General features: G+C 42.9%; 1 protein-coding gene across 15 annotated transcripts in view, besides 3 other annotated features; it reads right to left on the reverse strand.

The window, feature by feature from the left end:
• CDKL1 (cyclin dependent kinase like 1) overlaps nt 1-20166 on the reverse strand; it is a 71034-nt gene that overhangs the window by 23414 nt on the left and 27454 nt on the right. For 11 of the 15 annotated variants that reach the window (NM_001367064.3, NM_001423763.1, NM_001423764.1 and 8 more), the window contains one exon: nt 9350-9471. In NM_001367064.3, the coding sequence (NP_001353993.2) occupies nt 9350-9471 (122 nt within the window). Of the gene's footprint in view, nt 1-9349; nt 9472-13542; nt 14277-20166 lie in introns of those variants that run through there. The other 4 variants (NM_001423769.1, NM_001423765.1, NM_001423768.1 and 1 more) reach the window with 2 other exon arrangements.
• Nucleotides 13232-13641: an enhancer, noted in NCBI's record as "active region_8356". NCBI's record gives its function as "activates an Ori minimal core promoter by ATAC-STARR-seq in GM12878 lymphoblastoid cells {active_cell/tissue: GM12878}" and the evidence as "EXISTENCE:reporter gene assay evidence [ECO:0000049][PMID:35858748]".
• Nucleotides 13782-13831: an enhancer, noted in NCBI's record as "active region_8357". NCBI's record gives its function as "activates an Ori minimal core promoter by ATAC-STARR-seq in GM12878 lymphoblastoid cells {active_cell/tissue: GM12878}" and the evidence as "EXISTENCE:reporter gene assay evidence [ECO:0000049][PMID:35858748]".
• Nucleotides 16146-16311: a silencer, noted in NCBI's record as "fragment chr14:50832542-50832707 (GRCh37/hg19 assembly coordinates)". NCBI's record gives its function as "represses an EF-1alpha promoter that drives an FKBP-Casp9 reporter gene in an ReSE screen in phorbol 12-myristate 13-acetate-treated (for megakaryocytic differentiation) K562 erythroleukemia cells {active_cell/tissue: K562(+PMA)}" and the evidence as "EXISTENCE:reporter gene assay evidence [ECO:0000049][PMID:32094911]".

Raw genomic sequence — 20166 nt, forward strand, 5'->3', positions numbered from 1 at the left:
ACTGGCTGGACCCTTCAGGCTAAGGCAGATGTTTTGATGTTCTTTGTTCTTCTCTCTTGTCTTTTTGTTGTTGTTGTTGTTGTTGTTTGTTTTTTGTTTTGTTTTTTTGAGACGTTGTCTCCCTCTGTCACCCAGGCTGGAGTGCAGTGGTGCTATCTTGGCTCACTGCAACTTTCTCCTTCTGGGTTCAAGCAATTCTCCTGCCTCAGCCGCCCAAGTAGCTGGGATTACAGGCACACACCACCACACCCAGCTAATTTTTGTATTTTTAGTAGAGATGGGGTTTCGCCACGTTGGCCATGGTTGGCCAGGCTGGGCTCGAACGCCTGACCTCAGGTAATCTGCCTGCCTTGGCCTCCCAAAGTGCTGGGATTACAGGTGTGAGCCACCGTGCTTGGCCAATACTTTTTTTGCAGAAATGGGGGTCTTGCTGTGTTGCCCAGGCTGGTCATGAACTCCTGGGTTCAAGTGATTCTCCTGCCTTGGCCTCCCAAAACACTGGGATTATAGACATGAGCCACTATGCCTGGCCTAAGGAAGATGTTCTTAAAATTGTAGCCCGTGCTAGCAAGGCTAGGGAACTCATTCCACCTTAAGATATTTGTTTCCACATTGGTGGTAAATAGTGGTTGTGGCTGAGCTCTAGGGCAGAGTGGGGAAGGGCTAGAACAGGTATGAAGAAAAGGGGCTCAATTCCTTCTCATTCTTTACTCCCTTTAATAGCTCTTCTAGCTCAAAAGCAAGCTCTCCTTTCAGAGCAATCATACATAAGCTCAACCTTAATCTATGAGAGAAGAAGGGGCTTGAGCTTTTCTCCTGGGCCTGGTTCTTCTCTGCCATGGGATTAGGTGATTGAACTTTAGACGAGCCATATATATCCCCAGCTTTTCTTCCTAGTAAATAGTACTCCAAGGGAGCTGGACAGGATCCAACTTGGGCCTTTTGGACTCCCAGCCAGCTGGGCCTGGTCTGGTGGGCTTTAAAATCCTGAAGATATCAGCTCCCCCGACCTAGAAATGAGAGTCGGGCAAGGTATGAGAAAATCAAGCAAGGATCCTCCCTTTCTTTTCTGTCCCACACCAAGATGGAAGGGGCTCAAGAAGGCACTTCCATAGGTAGTCAGGTGGTCTTCCTTGAGGCCTTCAGTTCAGTTGCCTTGTTGAGAGCTCCAGTTGTTCCTCCAGAGCCCACTGGGCTGTTGCCCAGCTCCCCAGAGGCACTCCTTCTGGGGAGGGCAGAATGGAATCCATCTTTCGCTAGTGGGAAGATGTGGAGAATGGGCACACTGCTGAGCTCTCCACTGGTGTGACCTCATGGCATTCTTCCTGCCTGCTTTGTGAATTTTGTTTCACCCCCCAGGAACATAAAGGGTTCCCAACTGCTTGATTCTAAGGAAGGGTGTGGGCGGGAGAGGGGGGTGTCATTTGAAATCCCTGGAGTCTAGATTTCTGTGTGATTATATCATCTTTTTAACCAGTTAGAGATGGATGTACTTGGTCAAAATAAGCAAGTAAACCCAGAAAGAGGAAGACAAATCCAGGAAGTAATGAATCTGACCACAGAGAAATGCGGCAGGAATTACAAGGATGATGGCAAAGGGAAATCCAAGGGATACAGCTGGACAGCAGGTCTTGAGTACAACAAGCCAGACAGAAGGAAAAGGAGGTTTAAAGGCCAGACATTACCAAGAAAAAAAAATGGAACTGATGGATTACCTGATGTAACTATCCTGTGAAAATGTACATTGAGAGGCTATTAAAATGAGTTGGGGTGGGGCGCAGTGAGTGGCTCATGCCTGTAATCCCAGCACTTTGGGAGGCTGAGGTGGGCAGATTGCTTGAGCCCAAAAGTTTGAGACCAGCCTGGGCAACATGGTGATATCCCATCTCTACAAAAAATACAAAAAATTAGCCAAGCGTGGTGGCAGGCACCTGTAGTCCCAGCTACTTAGAAGGCTGAGGTGGGAGGATTATTTGAGCCTGGGAGGCGGAGGTTGCAGTGAGCTATGATTGGGCCACTGCACTCCAGCCTGGGTGACAGAGTGAGGCCTTGTCTCAAAAAAAAAAAAAAAAAGGTCAGGGGAGGGAATTAGCAACAAGATTAAAGAATGTCAAGCAAATTTTAAAACAAGGCAAGTGTTAATTTGAGGAAAAAGTACAAAAGGAAGCCATAGTATGGTACAATGCTCAGCTATAAGTAATATTTACATAGGCACAATAATGGGAACAGTGAACATTAATGTAACTATTTTGGAGGATTAGAACAGGAAGCAGAGGAGATAGTGATTTCAGGGAGCTAAATTTTCATCTCTCACAATAGAAAGGCTTTGATGTCTAAAAATTGATATTTTGAGATATATTAATCACTCTTTTACATTACATTATACTGCTGGATTTGATTTGCTAATAATTTTGCTAAGGATTTTTTACCTAAATTCTTGAGGAATATTCATCTGTCATTTTCTTTTCTAGAAATGTCTGTCTGGTTTTGGCATCAGCATATAGTGGCCTCATAAAATGATTTGGGAAATGTTCCTTCTCATATTTTCTGAAAGAGTTTGGGTAGGGTTACTATTATTTCTTCCTTATATGTTTGATAGAATTCATACATCAAATATTTTAATAATAGAGCCTAAGGTAGCACAATTATAAGAAAAAATATATATATATAAATCCATATCTTTGGTGAGAAAGTAAATTGGTTCTGTCTGGCAAAATTTACAACTCAAAAGTACCAATTTGAGAACTTCTAAAGGAAAATTACAAAAGAAGAAAAATCTATTTGTAGGAAAATTTTATACCAGAATCATTATCAAACCAAACACTGAAAATGACCTCAGTATTCAACCAGAGAGGAATGGTGAGACATAATAAACTTAATGTAATATTTTACAGTCATTGACAATAGATCTAAAAATTATAATGCAACATATATAGAAAATACATAGAAAAGAATATTAAGCGAAGAATAGAGTTGAGGGGAAAAACAGCCATCTCATCACAGAACACAGAGAATGTGGTGCTTCGTTTGGAAAAGCTTGGCTGCCTTTGCCGTCTTCAGGCTTGCAGACACAGACACTCAATTTTGTCAGCATACCAAGACAGTATCCATTTCAAAGGGGCAAGTGAACATTAAACAAATTAACTAGCCTGTCATATAAAACTAGAGTGCCAACGTATTCACCCATACCCAAATTCTGAGTACTAGCTCATGCTTTCTTTGTAGACAATTTCATAAAGAAAGTCAAGTTATAATCAGAATGATGAGCAAAGAATTTGGATGAGGGAAAGTAGGCAATTTGACTCTTCATTGCTGTTAAACTGAGATTGCTTAACTGCATCCATCTCGACTTTAGGAATAATTTATCATTAGATAAAACATAGAGTCAGTCAAATCTAACAAGCCTAGAAGCCATTCTGTCTAAGGTTGCTTTACATACCTCCGCCCTGATGCATTATGTGTTCGTTTCACAAAATAACTTTCAGAAAGCAATCTCTGTCTCTCCAAGTTTTTAGGGGAGGCTGTATTGTGACCCTAATGTCCTAATAACAAAATCAGACAGACAGAAATGTAAACGACTACCATATGAAAGTGAAGACATCAAACCGATTTTTAAAAATTCTTCAGAAATGTGAAATTCTTCGGAGATGATGAAGAAATAACATGTATCCCTTTCCAGCATTCTCAATTACAGAAGTCATCCTTTCCACTGCTGCTTGTCTAACATTTGTGACACAGATCATCAAACAGTTGGCATTCATTAAGACTTCATTTCTACACAAGGCTATCACAAAGATGGGAAGGGCTGGGGGTCTGGCCAAACTCTTGTAAAAAAAGAATATATTACTAAGAATTTATCCTAAAGAAATATTTACGAAAATGGTTTTTCACTGTAGCATGGTTAGTAATAGAAAATAACTGGAAACAATCTAAATATTTATCAATAGGAGATTGAACTAAGAAATCATGGTATATTCATACAATGGAATTCTATACAGCCATTTTTAAAATATAAAGGTAGATATGTATAGATAGGGAGAAAGCTCCAGAGTACATTTAAAAAAAAATGCAGCCTGGTGTGGTTGGGCACACCTGTAGTCCCAGCTACTCAGGAGGCTGGAACAGGAGGATCGCTTGAGCCCAGGAGTTCAAGTTTAGCCTGAGCAGCATAGCAACAAGACCCTGTTTCTAATATTAACTAATTTATTTAACTAAATAAAAACAAAATAAATGCAGAACAGTATGTAAAGCTATTGATTTTATTTATTTCAATTTTTTCTTTTTTTTTTTTTTGAGATGGAGTTTTGCTCTTGTCACCCAGGCTGGACTGCAGTGGCACTATCTCAGCTTACTGCCACCTCCGCCTCCCGGGTGCAAGTGATTCTCCTGCCTCAGCCTCCCGAGTAGCTGGGATTACAGGCGCCCACCACAATGCCCGGCTAATTTTTGTATTTTTAGTAGAGACGGGGTTTCACCATGTTGGCCAGGCTGGTCTTGAACTCCTGACCTTAAGTGATCCGCCTACCTCGGCCTCCCAAAGTGCTGGGATTGCAGGTGTGAGCAACCACCCCCAGCCCTTCATTTCAATGTCTGTGTTGCTTTAAAAATTTGCAACAAACAACATATCATTTTTAATCTAAAAAAGAGAGAGAACATTTCTGGAATTTCACTGTCAGAAACTGAAAACTTGCAGTAATGTACATTACCCAGGAGATGTTCTTTGAACAAACTATGTTATTCAGAGAAGGAACTGGTGGTAATTAAATCTGTGCAGGAAAGAATCAATGAAGTCTTATGTCTGGCTGAACATATAGGTAGGCAGAAAAATGAGGAGAAAACATCCAAACCAGTTATTTGTAAAACTTTGACACAGGGAGACCAATCATCTATAGAATAATAGATACAAAGTTTTTTAAATTCTGTATAAGACAAGGAATGGTTGTGATTGGGGACAATTATAAAAACATAAACCTAAGCACTGGGAATTATAATTGACATGTATTCATGTTACTGTAACAGGATACATATCTCGTGGTATAAACTTGCTTGTGTTAGTAGCAACATGAAGTTGGATCTTCTCCAAAAGCTTTCCAAGGGAGTACCAGAAGTTACAAGCATGTTAATAAGAAGATGAATTAGTGTCCATTTCAGGTTCAAATGAGAAGTCTTTGAGTCTGATTTGGCAAGAATTATTTTTAATAATTAAACATTAAAACATTACTATAATAATAAACATGAAAAATATAAAAGCACAAATAAAATGAAAAATATCAATAACAATCATAACTCATCACTAGTAATATTCAGATTACTTGTCTTTTTTCCCATCTATATATAAATTCTATGAAAATGAAATAATATGTATTTTTATTATAGTATAATTTTTTTTCATTTGACAACTATTCATGAACTTTTTCCTATGTCAATATATGTTTTATCTGTTAACATAAGCTTTATTCTTAATGGGTCCACTGTATTCTATCATAAAACTTTATTATAATTTACGTAACTAATTATCTATTGTTGGATATTTCAGTTGATTGCAATTTTTTCTTTATAAACAATACTTAAAAATATCCCATAACAATAAATACTTTTGTAATTAAGTTTTTGCACATATATTCAAATATTTTCTTATGGTAAATTGTTCAAAGTAGACTTGCTGGGTTTAAGATAATGCCTCTAAGACTTTTAATTCCACACACTGATTGCCAAATTGCCTTCTGGACAGGTTGCTCCAGCAGAGTACTTCATAATCTCTTTTGACAATATTAGGCTTTAGAAATTTTAAATCAAAGTAACCTTTAAATTGAAAATCCAAACCTTGTTATGATTATTCTTCTTTAAAATCATTTTGTAACTATCAATTTATTGGTTTGCTAATTCAGTCATTCTACAAGTACTGAGTATGTACCAAGTGCCAAATATGCAGCTAGAAGACACTGAGAATCCACAGGTGAGGAAGGCCCAGCTCTTGCCCTTGAGGATTGTGCATTTTACTGGGCAAATGGGATATGTAAATAAACAATCCCAGAAGATGTTATAGAGGCCAGGGTGCTGGCAGGCATCATAAAGGAGTCATATGTGAGATGTAGGAAGGACAGCAGGAGTCTTCCAGGTACAATAGAGAAAGTAAGGAAACCCACGTTTGCTGAGCAAACAGCATGTCCTGAACCTAGAATGCAAGGAATTTGGTAGGATGGGTCATGTATTATGGGCAAACTGGTGGGGAGTGGGGTGGTAGAGTGAGTAAGATCTTGTATCTCATGCTGGGGGGATTTCCCCATACCAGTAAGCTTTGGGGAGCTATTAAAGGATTCTATGTAGAGGGTGGCATGCTCAACTTTGTATTTTAAGAAATCTGTACTTAGAAATATAAGAAGTGATCACAGGACATTCTGAGGGTAAGTATACTAACCTAAGGGGACCCCACCTGGCACCAAGCAGGCTGGTAACCCAACCTGGCAACACCAGCATCAGTAGCTTATGCTTTGTTGATATTGTCTAATAGATCAAATATGAAACTGAAAGATAACCGAAGTCTTCTGACCCCTAAGGTACTTGATTATCAATTCATAGCATTATACAGCTAGAAGTCCCCTGAAACTTTACCTAGTCCTAAACTCTCATTTTTACAGGTGAAGACACCTGTAAGCAATTTGCCCAAGGTCACACAGATAATGCTAACTCACCTTTACTGTGAATGTGCTTACAAAATTTTATTTTATAGTATGATGTCTCTAAATTAAAAAGTTTTCATACGATGATAGACTGGAAAAAGAAAATGTGGTATATACACACCATGGAATACTATGCAGCCATAAAAATGAATGAGATCATGTCCTTTGCAGGGACAGGATGGAGCTGGAAGCTGTTATCCTCAGCAATCTAACGCAGGAACAGAAAACCAAACACCACATGTTCTCACTTATAAGTGGGAGCTGAACAATGAGAACACATGGACACAGGAAGGGGAACAACACATACTGAGGCCTGTCGGGGGCTGATTTCCTTAAGTAAATCTTATATTTGATTTCCTTAAGATTTCCTTAATAAATCTTATATTTGGCAAATCATAGCATTTTACCATTTGGAAATGAGGTTGCTTGTAATTAATCACACATTTATCTACAGGTCTTTCTGTTTTCTGCAACTCCCATATTAAAGCATTTTCTGTTTCCTGGAACATATATAACATATTTTGGCCAGTGGAGTTTTTAAAAATCTGCTTTCAAACTGTAATCACCCTTTTTATTCTGTTCAAACTATATGCCAAAAAAAGAGCTGACTTTCATTGCTTTTGACTCCCACAAATCAGTGTTCCCAAGCCACTCAACATGATTAATCAAATTCCCTGTAACATCCCTCTGGTACCACATAGCCATGAGTAACTTATATTAACAAGTTTAATTGAAGTGTCACTTGCAAGCTGTCAAAAGATCAAATATCAACATACGAAATGTTTTCTCCTTTGAAAACATAATTTCTCTGTATCGATGACTTTCTGAAGGGAGGTGTCTGTCCTCTTGGCTCTCTCTGGCTATGTAAATTAACATTCTGAAATATGAAAAGTCTGTGCTGTGGTCACTAACAAACCACAAGCCGCTTCCATTCCATTTGCCTGGAGGTCACGGCAGATCATATATAACCATCACCACGTGGCAGAGCAAGCCCCTGGCAAAGACTTGAAAGAGTTGTTGGAGGAGCCTCAGCCTCCAGCCACTGAAGTGTGAATGGGAGCCATTCACAGTCCATGGGATGGGACACCATTCTGTGGCTCTAATCTATAATCCACTCTTCATATTGTCCCCAGCCAAAGTTGGGCTCCCGAGAACACAGCCAAAAAAGGAAAGGATGGGATATTTTTCATCCCTGGTCAACTTATCTAAAGTCTCCTCCCCTTTCAACTCCAAGGCCACCTTCACCATGAAGCTCTCTTTGAATAATATCTCCCAGGACCTGCTAATCATTCCGTCCTCTTTCTCTAGCAACAGTAATAGGCCCCAGGGATAGTTGCGTCACCTGAGCTGAGCCAATCGGAGTTCCACTAGACTTAATGTGCAGATGCTACCTTCTTCTAGAATTCCTTTCTTCTAGAACAGCTATATAGATTGATATAAGCCTGTGGCCATGCTTTCTATTTTGTACTTTTCCCTTCCAAACTTCCAGCCCATGCCACCCACATGCCCTCCCAAATCCACCATATAAGGGAAGCTTATTTGCAAGGCACAATGAAGAAGAATTAGGGCTGGGAGAGAGTGAGAAAGAACAGCCACTACCTACGTTGCCCTGCCTGAAAACACCCAGCTGAGGAGTGGGTGGGAGCTGGAATCCAGTCCTCTCACCCTGCAAGAGGCTGCCCTCAACTTCAGGAAGGGACCCCCTCCTCCTTTTTTCTTTTTCTTGGACAAGGCCTCTGTGTGCTCACCAAGTCTTCTTCCAGTGCACACAAAGATGTTGCATATGCTAGAGAGAGCTGTGTGGTAAGATCAGCGGAGCCCCCGGAGTCACTCCCACCCTTCTCAGTTACAGCCACAACACAATTGTTTTTCACCTATGCTTGCTTCAGTTGGGTTTTTGTCACTTGAAACCAAAGAAATCCTGAGTAATACAGCAGAGTAGACACCCGGATTGCTTCCAGTGAAATACCATGTTTGTTTTAGTCTCAAACTTCCTAGTAGCCATTGCCTTTGGAATCTTCCTTTCAATCTCCAAGCCCTTCTACCTCCCTGGTCAGGCATAGACTAACTAATATCCTTCCTTTTCTTAGAGACTGAGATCACTTCTATGCAGAGATAAAGTACCAAAGAAATCAAGTTCAATCTAATGATGCTTCTGCTGGTTTCTTCATTAAAGTGACTATTTTTTTTATCCTTTTGTAACATTTTTTGTAATCTTTCTGCTGTCCACCTTGGCAGCAGAGTATGTTGTACAAACACTGGCTGTTTTTAACTAGTCTTTTTTTTTTTTTTTTTTTTTGAGACAGAGTCTCACCCTGTTGCCCAGGCTGGAGTGCAATGGTGCAATCTTGGCTCACTGCAACCTCCGCCTCCCAAGTTCAAGCGATTCTCCTGCCTCAGCCTCCCGACTGGCTGAGATTACAGGCACCCGCCACCACGCCCAGCTAATTTTTGTATTTTTAGTAGAGATGGGGTTTCACTATGTTGGCCAGGCTGGTCTTGAAGTCCTGACCTCAGATGATCCACCCGTCTAGGCCTCCCAAAGTGCTGGGATTACTGGCATGAGCCACTGCACCCGGCCTTACCTAGTCTTAAAAAGAGTCATTGCCACTTTTCGCTCACAAATCCCAGTGTGTCTTTGTTTTGCTTGTAAGGGATGGATCACTCACCCTCTTTGGTATCTGTCCAACTCATGGAGAACTGTGTGGTCACAATATTCAAACACCAGGTGAAGCCTCCGTTTCCTCCTGAAGACTTCCAGGAGGTTAACAAGGTTGGGATGCTTGAGTTGCTGAAAACACAAAAAAACAAGTTACTAAATTTGACTTGTGAAAGACAGCTTTCTCTAATCTTGATCCAATAAAAAGTAAGTTGTTTGTCCTTTAAGAATTTCATTCTTAGATTGAAGGAGGCTGTAAACAGTATCATCTTACCCCTCTTAACAAGCTATTTGTCAGTAGCTTGTAAGTCAAAGATGATTATAACACAGGTGGTTGGTGAGGGCAAAGAGAGGTATAAGAAGGCCAGAAAATAAAAAAGAATGAAGAGAGAGGGGAGATGGTAATACAAACTCAGCTTTCAAGATTCAGATCAAATGTCCCTTCCTAGGGTCTCCATTAATCTCCTCACACTGGTTCAGTGCCTTGTATGTCTAAAAGGCCCCCTGAAGTATGACTCTTTCAGAATTACTGAGTAATTAATAAATAATATGTAATTCTTACTTAGTAATTATTGTTCAGTTAATTGTTTGAAGTCTTCTGGTATCAATAGCTACAATAGATAAATTCAATAGAATATACGAACGACGGCATCAGGGTCTGTGTTCTTTTGTTTATCAAAATTGTGTTGTTGTACTTCTAGCACCAGGCCGTGTACATAACAGGCATTCCATCGTTATTTACTCTCCAATCTGATATGCCTGAAAATGTGTGTCTAGATTAAAAAAAAAAAAAAAAAAAGCCCAGGACTGAATGTTAGCTTTGGCAGAGATAAATCTTGTACCTAGCTTCCTGGCCCTTTCTGGACATAATGCTATCAGAAGCACTACAGCTAGGCACTGGTCTCTTTTTTTCTGCAGAAGAAAATAAGAGACTTACACTAAGAAAGACAAAAAAAAGTCACAGGAAAACATATCAATCATGGAGTCCCTTCTGCAGTGCCCATTCACTATCAGATCACAATTACAGTCCCTTTTACCTACTGTTGTACGATTTAACACTTGGCAGATCGCTCCTCTTTTTCCAAATATTCTTTGATAGTGCCACCAGATAATTTTCCATAAGAATTTTACAATCAAATGTTGTTTTATCGCATTAACTTTCCGCCCTGATTTTTAGAACTGTGGTGAAATACATACAACACAAAATATATCATCTTAATCATTTTAAGTGTACAGCTCAGTGCTATTAAGTGAAATCATATTGTGCAACCATCACCACCACCTATCACCAGAACTCTTTTCACTTGCAAAACTGAAAGTCTATGCCCATTAACTCCCCAATCCTTCCTCCCCCCAGTCCCTGCCAAATACCATTCCACTTTTTATTTATTTATTTTATTTATTTTTTGAGACGGAGTCTCACTCTATTGCCCAGGCTGGAGTGCAGTGGTGAGATCTCAGCTCACTGCAACCTCCACCTCCCAGATTCAAGTGATTCTCTTGCCTCAGCTTCCTGAATAGCTGAGACTACAGGTGCACACCACCATGCCCAGCTAATTTTTGTACTTTGAGTAGAGACAGGGTTTCGCCATGTTGGTCAGGCTGGTCTCGAACTCCTGACCTCAGGTGATCCACCTGCCTCTCCTCCCAAAGTGCTGGAATTATAGGCTTGAGCCATGAACCCGGCCATGAGCCACCGCGCCCAGCCTCCACTTTCAGATTTTTGACTAGGTACCTCCTACAGGTGGAATGATAGACGTGTGTGTGTTTGTGTGTGTGTGTGTGTGTGTGTGTGTGTGTGTGTGTGTGATTGGCTTAGTTCACTTAACGTTATGTCCTCAAGGCTCACCCAAGTGGTAGCAAGGTTGAGCATGAATAATATCGCATTGTATGAATATACCACATTTTGTTTATCCATTCATCTTTTGATCTATGGACATGGCTTGCTTCCACCTTTTAGCTATCGTGAATAATGCTGCTGTGAGCATGAATGTACAAATATGTTTTTGAGACTCTACTTTCAATTCTTTTGGTTGTAGGAATGAGCCAGGCATATGTTTTGTTTTGTTTCACCTACATTCCCCAGGTGATTCACTGTGTATCCAGAGGTATTAATCATAGACAAGCAGGCTACTCCATCAGTGATAAAAGGTAAAAGGAGGAAAATTGAAGTTCTTGAACTGCATGCTACAGCACATTTGTATGGGCAGTGACAAAATAAAAGCAGCCCACAAGGAGATACTAAAGAAGAAAGTTCTTTTTTCTTTCCTCATTTTCTCTGTAAAATCCCTCTGTATTTTCAAGATGTGAAATTCCTGCTCCAGATATTATACTTGATGAACAAGTATAAAAAATTCAAGATATTTCTAAAGCTCATGTCTTATTAGTCCATTTGTGCTGCTATAACAAAATACCTGAGACTGGGTAATTTATAAAGAACAGAACTTTTTTTCTTACAGTTCCGCATGCTGGGAAATCCAAGATCAAGGTGCTGGCACTGGTGTCTGCGGAGGCATGCTCTCTGCTTCCAAAATGGCACCTTGTTGCTGTGTCCTCACATGGCAAAAGGCAGAAGGGCAAGAGAGCACCCCCCTCAACCTTGAGCTCTTTATACGGGTGCTAATCCCATTCATGAGGGCTCTGCCTCCCAGCGGCCACACCTCTTAATACAGTTGCACTGGGGGTGAAGTTTCAACATGAATTTTGGAGGACGCACCACCATCATTGAAACAGAGCAGCCCATTAATCACCTTTGTGAGAGGTGACAGCATGCTGGCAGCCCTGGCAGTCCTCGCTCGCTCTCGGCGCCTTCTCTATCTGGGCTCCCACTTTGGCGGCACTTGAGGAGCCCTTCAGCCCGCCGCTGCACTGTGGGAGCCCCTTTCTGGGCAGGCCAAGGCCGGAGCCGGCTCCCTCAGCTTGCAGGGAGGTGTGGAGGGAGAGGCGCAGGCGGGAACCGGCGAGTTCCGGGTGGGCATGGGCTTGGGGGGCCCGGCACTCTAGCGGCCCCCTGGCCCACAAGCCCCGGGCAGTGAGGGGCTTAGCACCTGGGCCAGCAGCTGCTGTGCTCGACTTCTGGCCGGGCCTTAGGTGCCTCCCTGCAGGGCAGGGCTCAGGACCTGCAGCCTGCCATGCCTGAGCCTCCCCTCCCCACCCCCCCACCCCCACCGTGGGCTCCTGCGCGGCCGAGCCTCCACGATCAGAACCGCCCCCTGCTCCGCAGCACCCGGTCCCATCGACCACCCAAGGACTGAGGAGTGCGGGCGCACGGCATGGGACTGGCAGGCAGCTCCACCTGTGGCCTGGTGTGGGATCCACTGGGTGAGGCCAGCTGGGCTCCTGAGTCTGGTGGGGACTTGGAGAACCTTTATGTCTAGCTAAGGGATTGTAAATACACCAATCGGCACTCTGTATCTTGTTCAAGGTTTGTAAACACACCAATCAGCACCCTGGGTCTAGCTCAGGGTTTGTGAATGCACCAACTGGCACTCTGTAACTAGTTACTCTGGTGGGGACTTGGAGAACCTTTATGTGTAGCTAAGGGATTGTAAATACACCAATCAGCACCCTGTGTCTAGCTCAGGGTTTGTGAATGCACCAATCGACACTCTGTATCTAGCTACTCTGGTTAGGACTTAGAGAACATTTGTGTCCACACTCTGTATCTGGCTAATCTAGTGGGGACGTGGAGAACTTTTGTGTCTAGCTCAGGGATTGTAAATGCACCAATCAGCACCCTGTCAAAACGGACCAATCACCTCTCTGTAAAACAGACCAATTGGCTCTCTGTAAAATGGACCAATCAGCAGGATGTGGGTAGGGCCAGATAAGAGAATAAAAGCAGGCTGCCCGACCCAGCAGTGGCAACCTACCCTGGGCACCATTCACACTGTGGAAGCTTTGTTCTTTCACTCTTTGCAATAAATCTTGCTGCTGCTCACGCTTTGGGTCCGCACTGCTGTAACACTTATGGCAAAGGGCTGCAGCTTCACTCTTGAAGCCAGGGAGACCACGAACCCACTGGGAGGAAAGAACAACTCCAAACACACTGCCTTAAGAGCTGTAACACTCACTGCGAAGGTCTGCAGCTTCACTCTTGAGCCAGGGAGACCACAAACCCACCAGAAGGAAGAAACTCAACACATCCGAACATCAGAAGGAACAAACTCCGGACACGCCGCCTTTAAGAAGTGTAACACTCACCGCGAGAGTCTGTGGCTTCATTCTTGAAGTCAGTGAGACCAAGAACCCACCAATTCCAGACACGTTTGGATCTTAGAACTGAGGGCACTCCAAGCTATAAAATGCCACATTTGTTATCATACCTGAAAACCCTTAGCCTGAACTAACATTCTCCAAACATAGTAGGATAGAACTGACTACTGTCTTAAACCTCTGAATTGGATTGACTAAGATGTCTCAACCAGAGAGTAAACAACCAGGTTAAAAGGGGCTAAATACTAACTTTATGATAGAATTCGCAGAAAGCAGAAGTTTTCTTTCAGACTGAAAAATAATCATCCTTAGGCTTTACTTTCATTTTCACACTATTTGCTCCCTTGACAGGATGTGACATTGAGGCCAAGACTTTGAATCTTAGAATTCTCTTTCCATTTTCCACATTCCATATTTAGTCCTCATGTCTCCAGCTGGCTCTTCTAACAAAAGTAGAAATGCATCAATTCTACCCAAACAAATCCCCCGACCTTCTCTGGATGCCAAGCCTGGTGCCTCCCACTTGCCACGTCCAAACGTGCAGTGATCACAGCAGGACACTGCTGCCCCAGGACAAGGCCCAAAGGTCCTCTCCATTTGGCCTCTGCTTACCTCTCCAGCCCCAACACTTATAACTTCCTTCTGGACCCACTGAATTTCTCTCACTTCCTAGAAGGCTCACACTCCCTTTCATTTCAGGATGTGTTCAGTTTCCTGTCTCTAAAGCATGCCCCACCTCCAGATGTTACTTTCTCTATTCAGCTTCCTCTGCTCCACCCTGACACAGCTGGTATGTACCGCAAGAGCTATGATCTGGGCACCCAAGCAAGGAGTAGCACTGTGCCAGTAAAGGACACTGTCACAGCCATATCCATTTGTCTGAATGGGACCAGTAACTGTTATATTGCACCCACCTTGCTACGTTACTATACATCTTTTGAAAACCAAAGTTCTTAGCTGGGCGTGGTGACTCATGCCTGTAATCCCAGCACTTTGGGAGGCCAAGGCAGGCGGATGCCTGAGTTTAGGAGTTCAAGACCAGCCTGGGCAACATTGTGAAACTCTGTCTCTACTAAAACTACAAAAATTAGCTGGGCGTGGCGGCACGCACCTGTAATCCCAGCTACTCGGGAGACTGAGGCATGAGAATCACTTGAACCCAGGAGGCAGAGGTTGCAGTGAGCCCAGATTGTGCCACTGCACTCCAGCCAGGGCAACAGAGCAAAACTCTGTCTCTAAATAAATAAATAAATTTATTTTAAAAAAGGAAACAAAACTGAGGTTCTGATAACTGCATGTATTAAATATTCAAATAACATGTAGGTTCTTTCCAATTTTTTGCTATTATAAATAAGATTTTGATAAGCAACTTATTAGCTGGTTGCCTCACTTGGACCAAATTAGGTAAGTTCTGTAGGCCTCAGTTTTCCATCTGTAAGAGTAAGAAGCGCAAGGGCTGTACTGCCAATTACACACAGGCACATACAACAGGGTCAGGTAAATATTAACCTCTCTGTAAAGGTTAATTATTGATATTGTTACCTTTGGGTTAAATCTATTTTTATTTAGAATGATTTTTCTCTATTCATTTTATTCAACAATTATTTATATATCTTAAGGTGCATATGGCACTGTGTTAGCCCTAAGGATATAGAGACAAATAAAGCAAGTACTGCCCCTACCGGCCTGGAGCTTAGAACCTAGGAAAGGAGACAGATGTTGGAGAAGTAATTATAGCTATGATAAATGTTATAAAAATGAGGTAAAGTGTACCTGGTTTGAGGGTGAGGTGTGGTTCAGGGAAAATCTCTTTGAGGAAGTGGCCATTAAGTTAATGATTCATTAACTGAGAATGACCTGAAGTTAACTGGGCACCATCTAGAGCCCCAGAAATGTGGCTCTAACTAGATAGAGTCAAATTGCTTTCCAAAAGGATTGTGAATATTTACCCCTTGGCCAGGAGTATGACAGTATTTTTACCATATTATGGCCAGCTTTAAGGAGCCTATAGACAATTTAAGGCTTGTGATATATATTGCCAAATTGCTTCCTTTGAGGGCTTACAGTGCCTCTGGCAACACAGGAAGGTGTAACTTGTCTCTCCCATCTTCCTCCATGAGATGATCTTCAAATAATTGCAAATAGCTGATAACTTATCTCTCAACCTGTTTTTAGAATAATTTTAATATAGAAAGATGATCATTAATACTAAATCCTAATGAGGGGTTATAAATATTAAATTATCAATATTTTAAAATAAATTATTAACTTTCACTGGGTTGCCAGGATTCCAGGTGACCCGAAAATACTCCAGAGCAGCAGATATGTGGTCTGGCATAGCACCCTTATGAAGCCAGTCCCCGTCTAGCTGTGTTCATATATTCAACAAATATCCCTAGAGCCCTGTGATAGTTAATACTGAGTGCCAACTTGATTGGATTGAAGGATGCAAAGTACTGTTTCTGGCTGTGTCTGTGAGGGTGTTGCCAAAGGAGATTAACATTTGAGTCAGAGGACTAGGAGAGACAGACCCACCCTCAATCTGGACGGGCACCATCTAATCAGCTGCCAGCACAGCTAGAATAATGCAGGCACTTGATTTGCTGAGTCTTCCGGCCTTCATCTTTCTCCCGTGCTGGATGCTTCCTGCCCTCGAACATTAGACTCCAAGTTCTTCAGCTTTTGGACTCTTGGACTTACACAGTGGTTTGCCACGGGCTCTCCGGCCTTCAGCCACAGACAGAAGGCTACACTGATGGCTTCCCTACTTTTGAGGTTTTGGGACTCAGCTTGCAGACGGCCTGTTGTGGGACTTCATCTTGTGATCATGTGAGCCAATTCTCCTAATAAGCTCCCCTTCATATATACATCTATCCTATTGGTTCTGTCCCTCTAGAGAACCCTGACTAATATAAGCACCTACTCTGCATCAGGTATTGGTGAAAGAGACAGAGGACTCAGGCATTAAACAAAGAAGTGCCAAAAATAATCTATGAAATTAGGCTGTCTCAGAGAAACTGGCCCTGAGGAAGTGACCTTGAGCCGAGTCTAGAGGGTAAAGGTCTGACCAAACCAAGGGCAGGGGTGGTGGTAAAGGCAAAGATGGCAGCTTTCCAGGCAGTGACTGGCCCTGAGTCAGGAGAGAACTTGGGTCACTTCAGCAACTGAAAGACAGTGTGGCTGGTGGGTGAAGCTCGTGGAATCAAGGCCAGCCAGTCAGAAGGCAGATCCTACAGGGCCTTGCAGGCCACGCTAAGCAATTCACTCTATCCTAGTGCAATGGGAAGCCACTGGAAGGATTTCAGCAAGACGTGATATGATACCATGGGGCTCTTAAAAGCTCACTACAGCAACAGGATATAGAATGGCTTGGAGGACGCAAAATGGATGAAGTGGCTGTTGATAGCTGACATTGTGGTGACTTGGAGCAGAGCAGAGGCAGGGTAGTCGGTGAGAAGCATTGTCTTGAGATGTATTTTGTTATCAGAATAGTCCGGATGTGGTGATCGGCTGGAGGTGAGGGACAGGGGAGAAGGAAGTGTCAAAAATGACACAAAGGTTTACACACTGGAACTGTCAAAAATGACACAAAGGTTTACACACTGGGGCAGATGGTGATGCCATCACAGAGAGGGGGAGTAAGACTGGGAGAAAGAAGTCACTAGCTTTGTCTCATTGAATTGGTGGGGATCTGAGACACCAAAGTGGAGTTGTTATGTCAGCCAGAGTCTGAGCTGAAGATAAAAGCCAGGGAGTCCGCATGTGTGTAAGCGAAGCCATAGACAGAGAGAGGAGATTGCCCCGAAGGAGCGAGAGTGAGATGAGAAAGCTGTCTAAAGAACCCTCCCACCCAGATGTGTGGTTGATGAGGAGGAAACACGAAAGGGGAAAGGGAAGAAAGCCCCTTAAGATGAGAGAGAAGACAGCAGAGCAGGCGCCATGGGGGCATCATGGGAGGAGGAAGTGGTCAGTGTTGACAGATGCTGCTGAAAGGTCAGATGGAAACAGAGGGCTGAGAGATGCCTGGTGGGCTTCCCTGGGTTGGGGTCGAGTGACCTTATTGGAAACGGTATCGGTGCAGTGGTGAGACCAGAAGCCAGATTATGTGGACTTAACATCTCAAACTACCTTACTCCTCTCTCTCTATTGACTCCACTGACCTCAGGGGTAGAACTCAAAGGGACACCTCTGATCCTCAAACCAGTCTGCAGCGAATAGCTGGAGGTGTCCATCATAGCCCCAACATTGTGAATGTTTGCATTCACAAGGGTTTGGATGTTTCTGCTTCAATGCTGAATGGAGTTCTTTCGGGACGTACAAACGAATTAGATGAGAAGAACTAAGCAACATGATGGACAAACTGTTACAGGCTTACCCAACATGTTCACGGTACATACAAGTAAACTTAATAGACAGAACAGGTTAAATTACCATATATACCACAAAGATGTTTGGGGCTCATTTAATGACAATTCCTTCCTATATACAAGTCTGTGAAGCCAAAGCCTCAGGTCTGGGGCGTCTGTGCTGGGCTAATCTTGAAGCTCTTGGTGCTCCTTACCAGGCCAGTATCACCGTCCTTCAGTTAATGCTCTATCTAGAAGCACGGGCCTGCTCGGACTCAGATTTACTTTCTCTTGTACAAAAGTTTCCACTTTTGCTGCTGCTATTTTATTTTAGTCTTCCTTTTATTTTCTCTTTGTGTTTTTTAAAATTTTCATTTTCAAATTATTATTACTTTTTTGAAACAGGGTCTCACTCTGTCACCCAGGTGGGAATGCAGTGGTGCAATCACAGCTCACAGCAGCCACGAACTCCCAGGCACAAGTGATCCTCCTGCCTCAGCCTCTCAAGTAGCTGGGACTACAAATGTGTACAACCATGCCCAGCTAATTTTTAAAATTTTGTGTAGTGACAGGGTTTCGCTACGTTGCCCTGTCCGATCTTGAAATCCTGGGCTCAAGCCAACCGCCCACCTCGTCCTCCCAAAATGCTGGGATTACAGGCGTGAGACACTGTGCCTAGTCTATTTTTTATTTTTTGAGACAGGGTCTTTCTCTGTTACCCAGGCTGGAGTGCAGTGGCATGATCATGGCTCACTGCAGCCTCAAACTCCAGGCTCAAGTGATCCTCTTCCCTCAGCCTCCTCAGTAGCTGGGACTACAGGTGCACACCATCATAACAAGCTAGTTTTTTTATTTTTAAAATTTTTTTAGAGACAGTGTCTCACTATGTTGCCCAGGCTGATCTCAGACTCCTGGGCTCAAGCGATCCTCTCACCCTAGCCTCCCAAATTGCTGGGATTATGGGCGTGAGCCACTGTACCCAGCCTTCTCTCTGTGTTTCAAATACTGATGTTCCATATTATGTTGCCAAGTCAAGTATTTTCTGTGACATTAAAAAAAGGACTTCATTTTTCTGAGGTTGAATTTAGCCAGAGCCCTACCTGGTTTCCCTGCAGAGCTGAGAATGCTACGTATCCTACGTGGGCAGCTGCCTCTCTGTGTCGTCAGCCCTCTGTCTTCATTGGGCACCCATCTGTTCTGATAAGCTCAGACCCTCCATCTACTAAGGTCAATTGCTTGGCCTGTTTAGCCCATGAGATTTTGAAGAATTTTGTGCTAGTTGCCAACCTTTTTTTTTTTTTTTTTTTAGATGGAGTCTCGCTCTGTCACCCAGGCTGGAGTGCAGTGGCACAATCTCGGCTCACCACAACCTCCACCTCCAGGGCTCAAGCGATTCTCATGCCTCAGCCTCCCAAGCAGCTGGGAATACAGGTGTGCACCACCATGCCTGGCTAATTTTTGTATTTTTAGTAGAGACAGGGTTTCACCATGTTGGCCAGGCTGATCTCAAACTCTTGACCTCAAGTTATCTGCCCACCTCGGCCTCCCAAAGTGCTGAGATTATAGGTGTGAGCCACCACGCCCGGCCGCTACCCTTAACCAGGAAATGTTACTTTAAAATCCTGGTTACCAAGAGTCTCTTGCAAATGCTGGGGATCAGCAGGTCTAGGCCTGTAGACTCTGTGGCACTTATGAGCTAGGGCTGAGAGCAGCTGTTCACTTTAGACAAGGCTTGTATGCTTTAGGTCACCGCAGTCACCCACTCCCTATTGCTCCCTGATCATGATGCCAAGTGAGAGTTGCTCTTTATCATCACTCTTGCATTATTGACTTTCTTATACTAGAGTTAAAAGTGAAATATTTAATATGTCCATGTTTCTATCAAAAGTAGAAAAACGTACAAGCAATAGAGGTATATTTAATTTTTTGTTGTTCTTTTAAAGCTTTATTGTAAATTGTAAACTTATTGTAAATATACAATTTATAATTATATATATACATATATTATATATAATATATATACACACATGCACACACACACACACACACACACACACATATATATATAGTTGCTCTATTGCCCAGGCTGGAGTGCAGTGGCACGATCTCAGCTCACTGCAATCTCAGCCTCCTGGGTTCAAGCAATTCTCCTGCCTCAGCCTCCTGAGTAGCTGGGATTACAGGCACCAGCCACCACCCCCAACTAATTTCTGTATTTTTAGTAGAGACAGGGTTTCACCATGTTGGCCAGGCTAGTCTCAAACTC

The sequence above is a fragment of the Homo sapiens genome, chromosome 14 (genome assembly GCF_000001405.40).
Source record: "Homo sapiens chromosome 14, GRCh38.p14 Primary Assembly".
Lineage (NCBI taxonomy): Eukaryota > Metazoa > Chordata > Mammalia > Primates > Hominidae > Homo > Homo sapiens.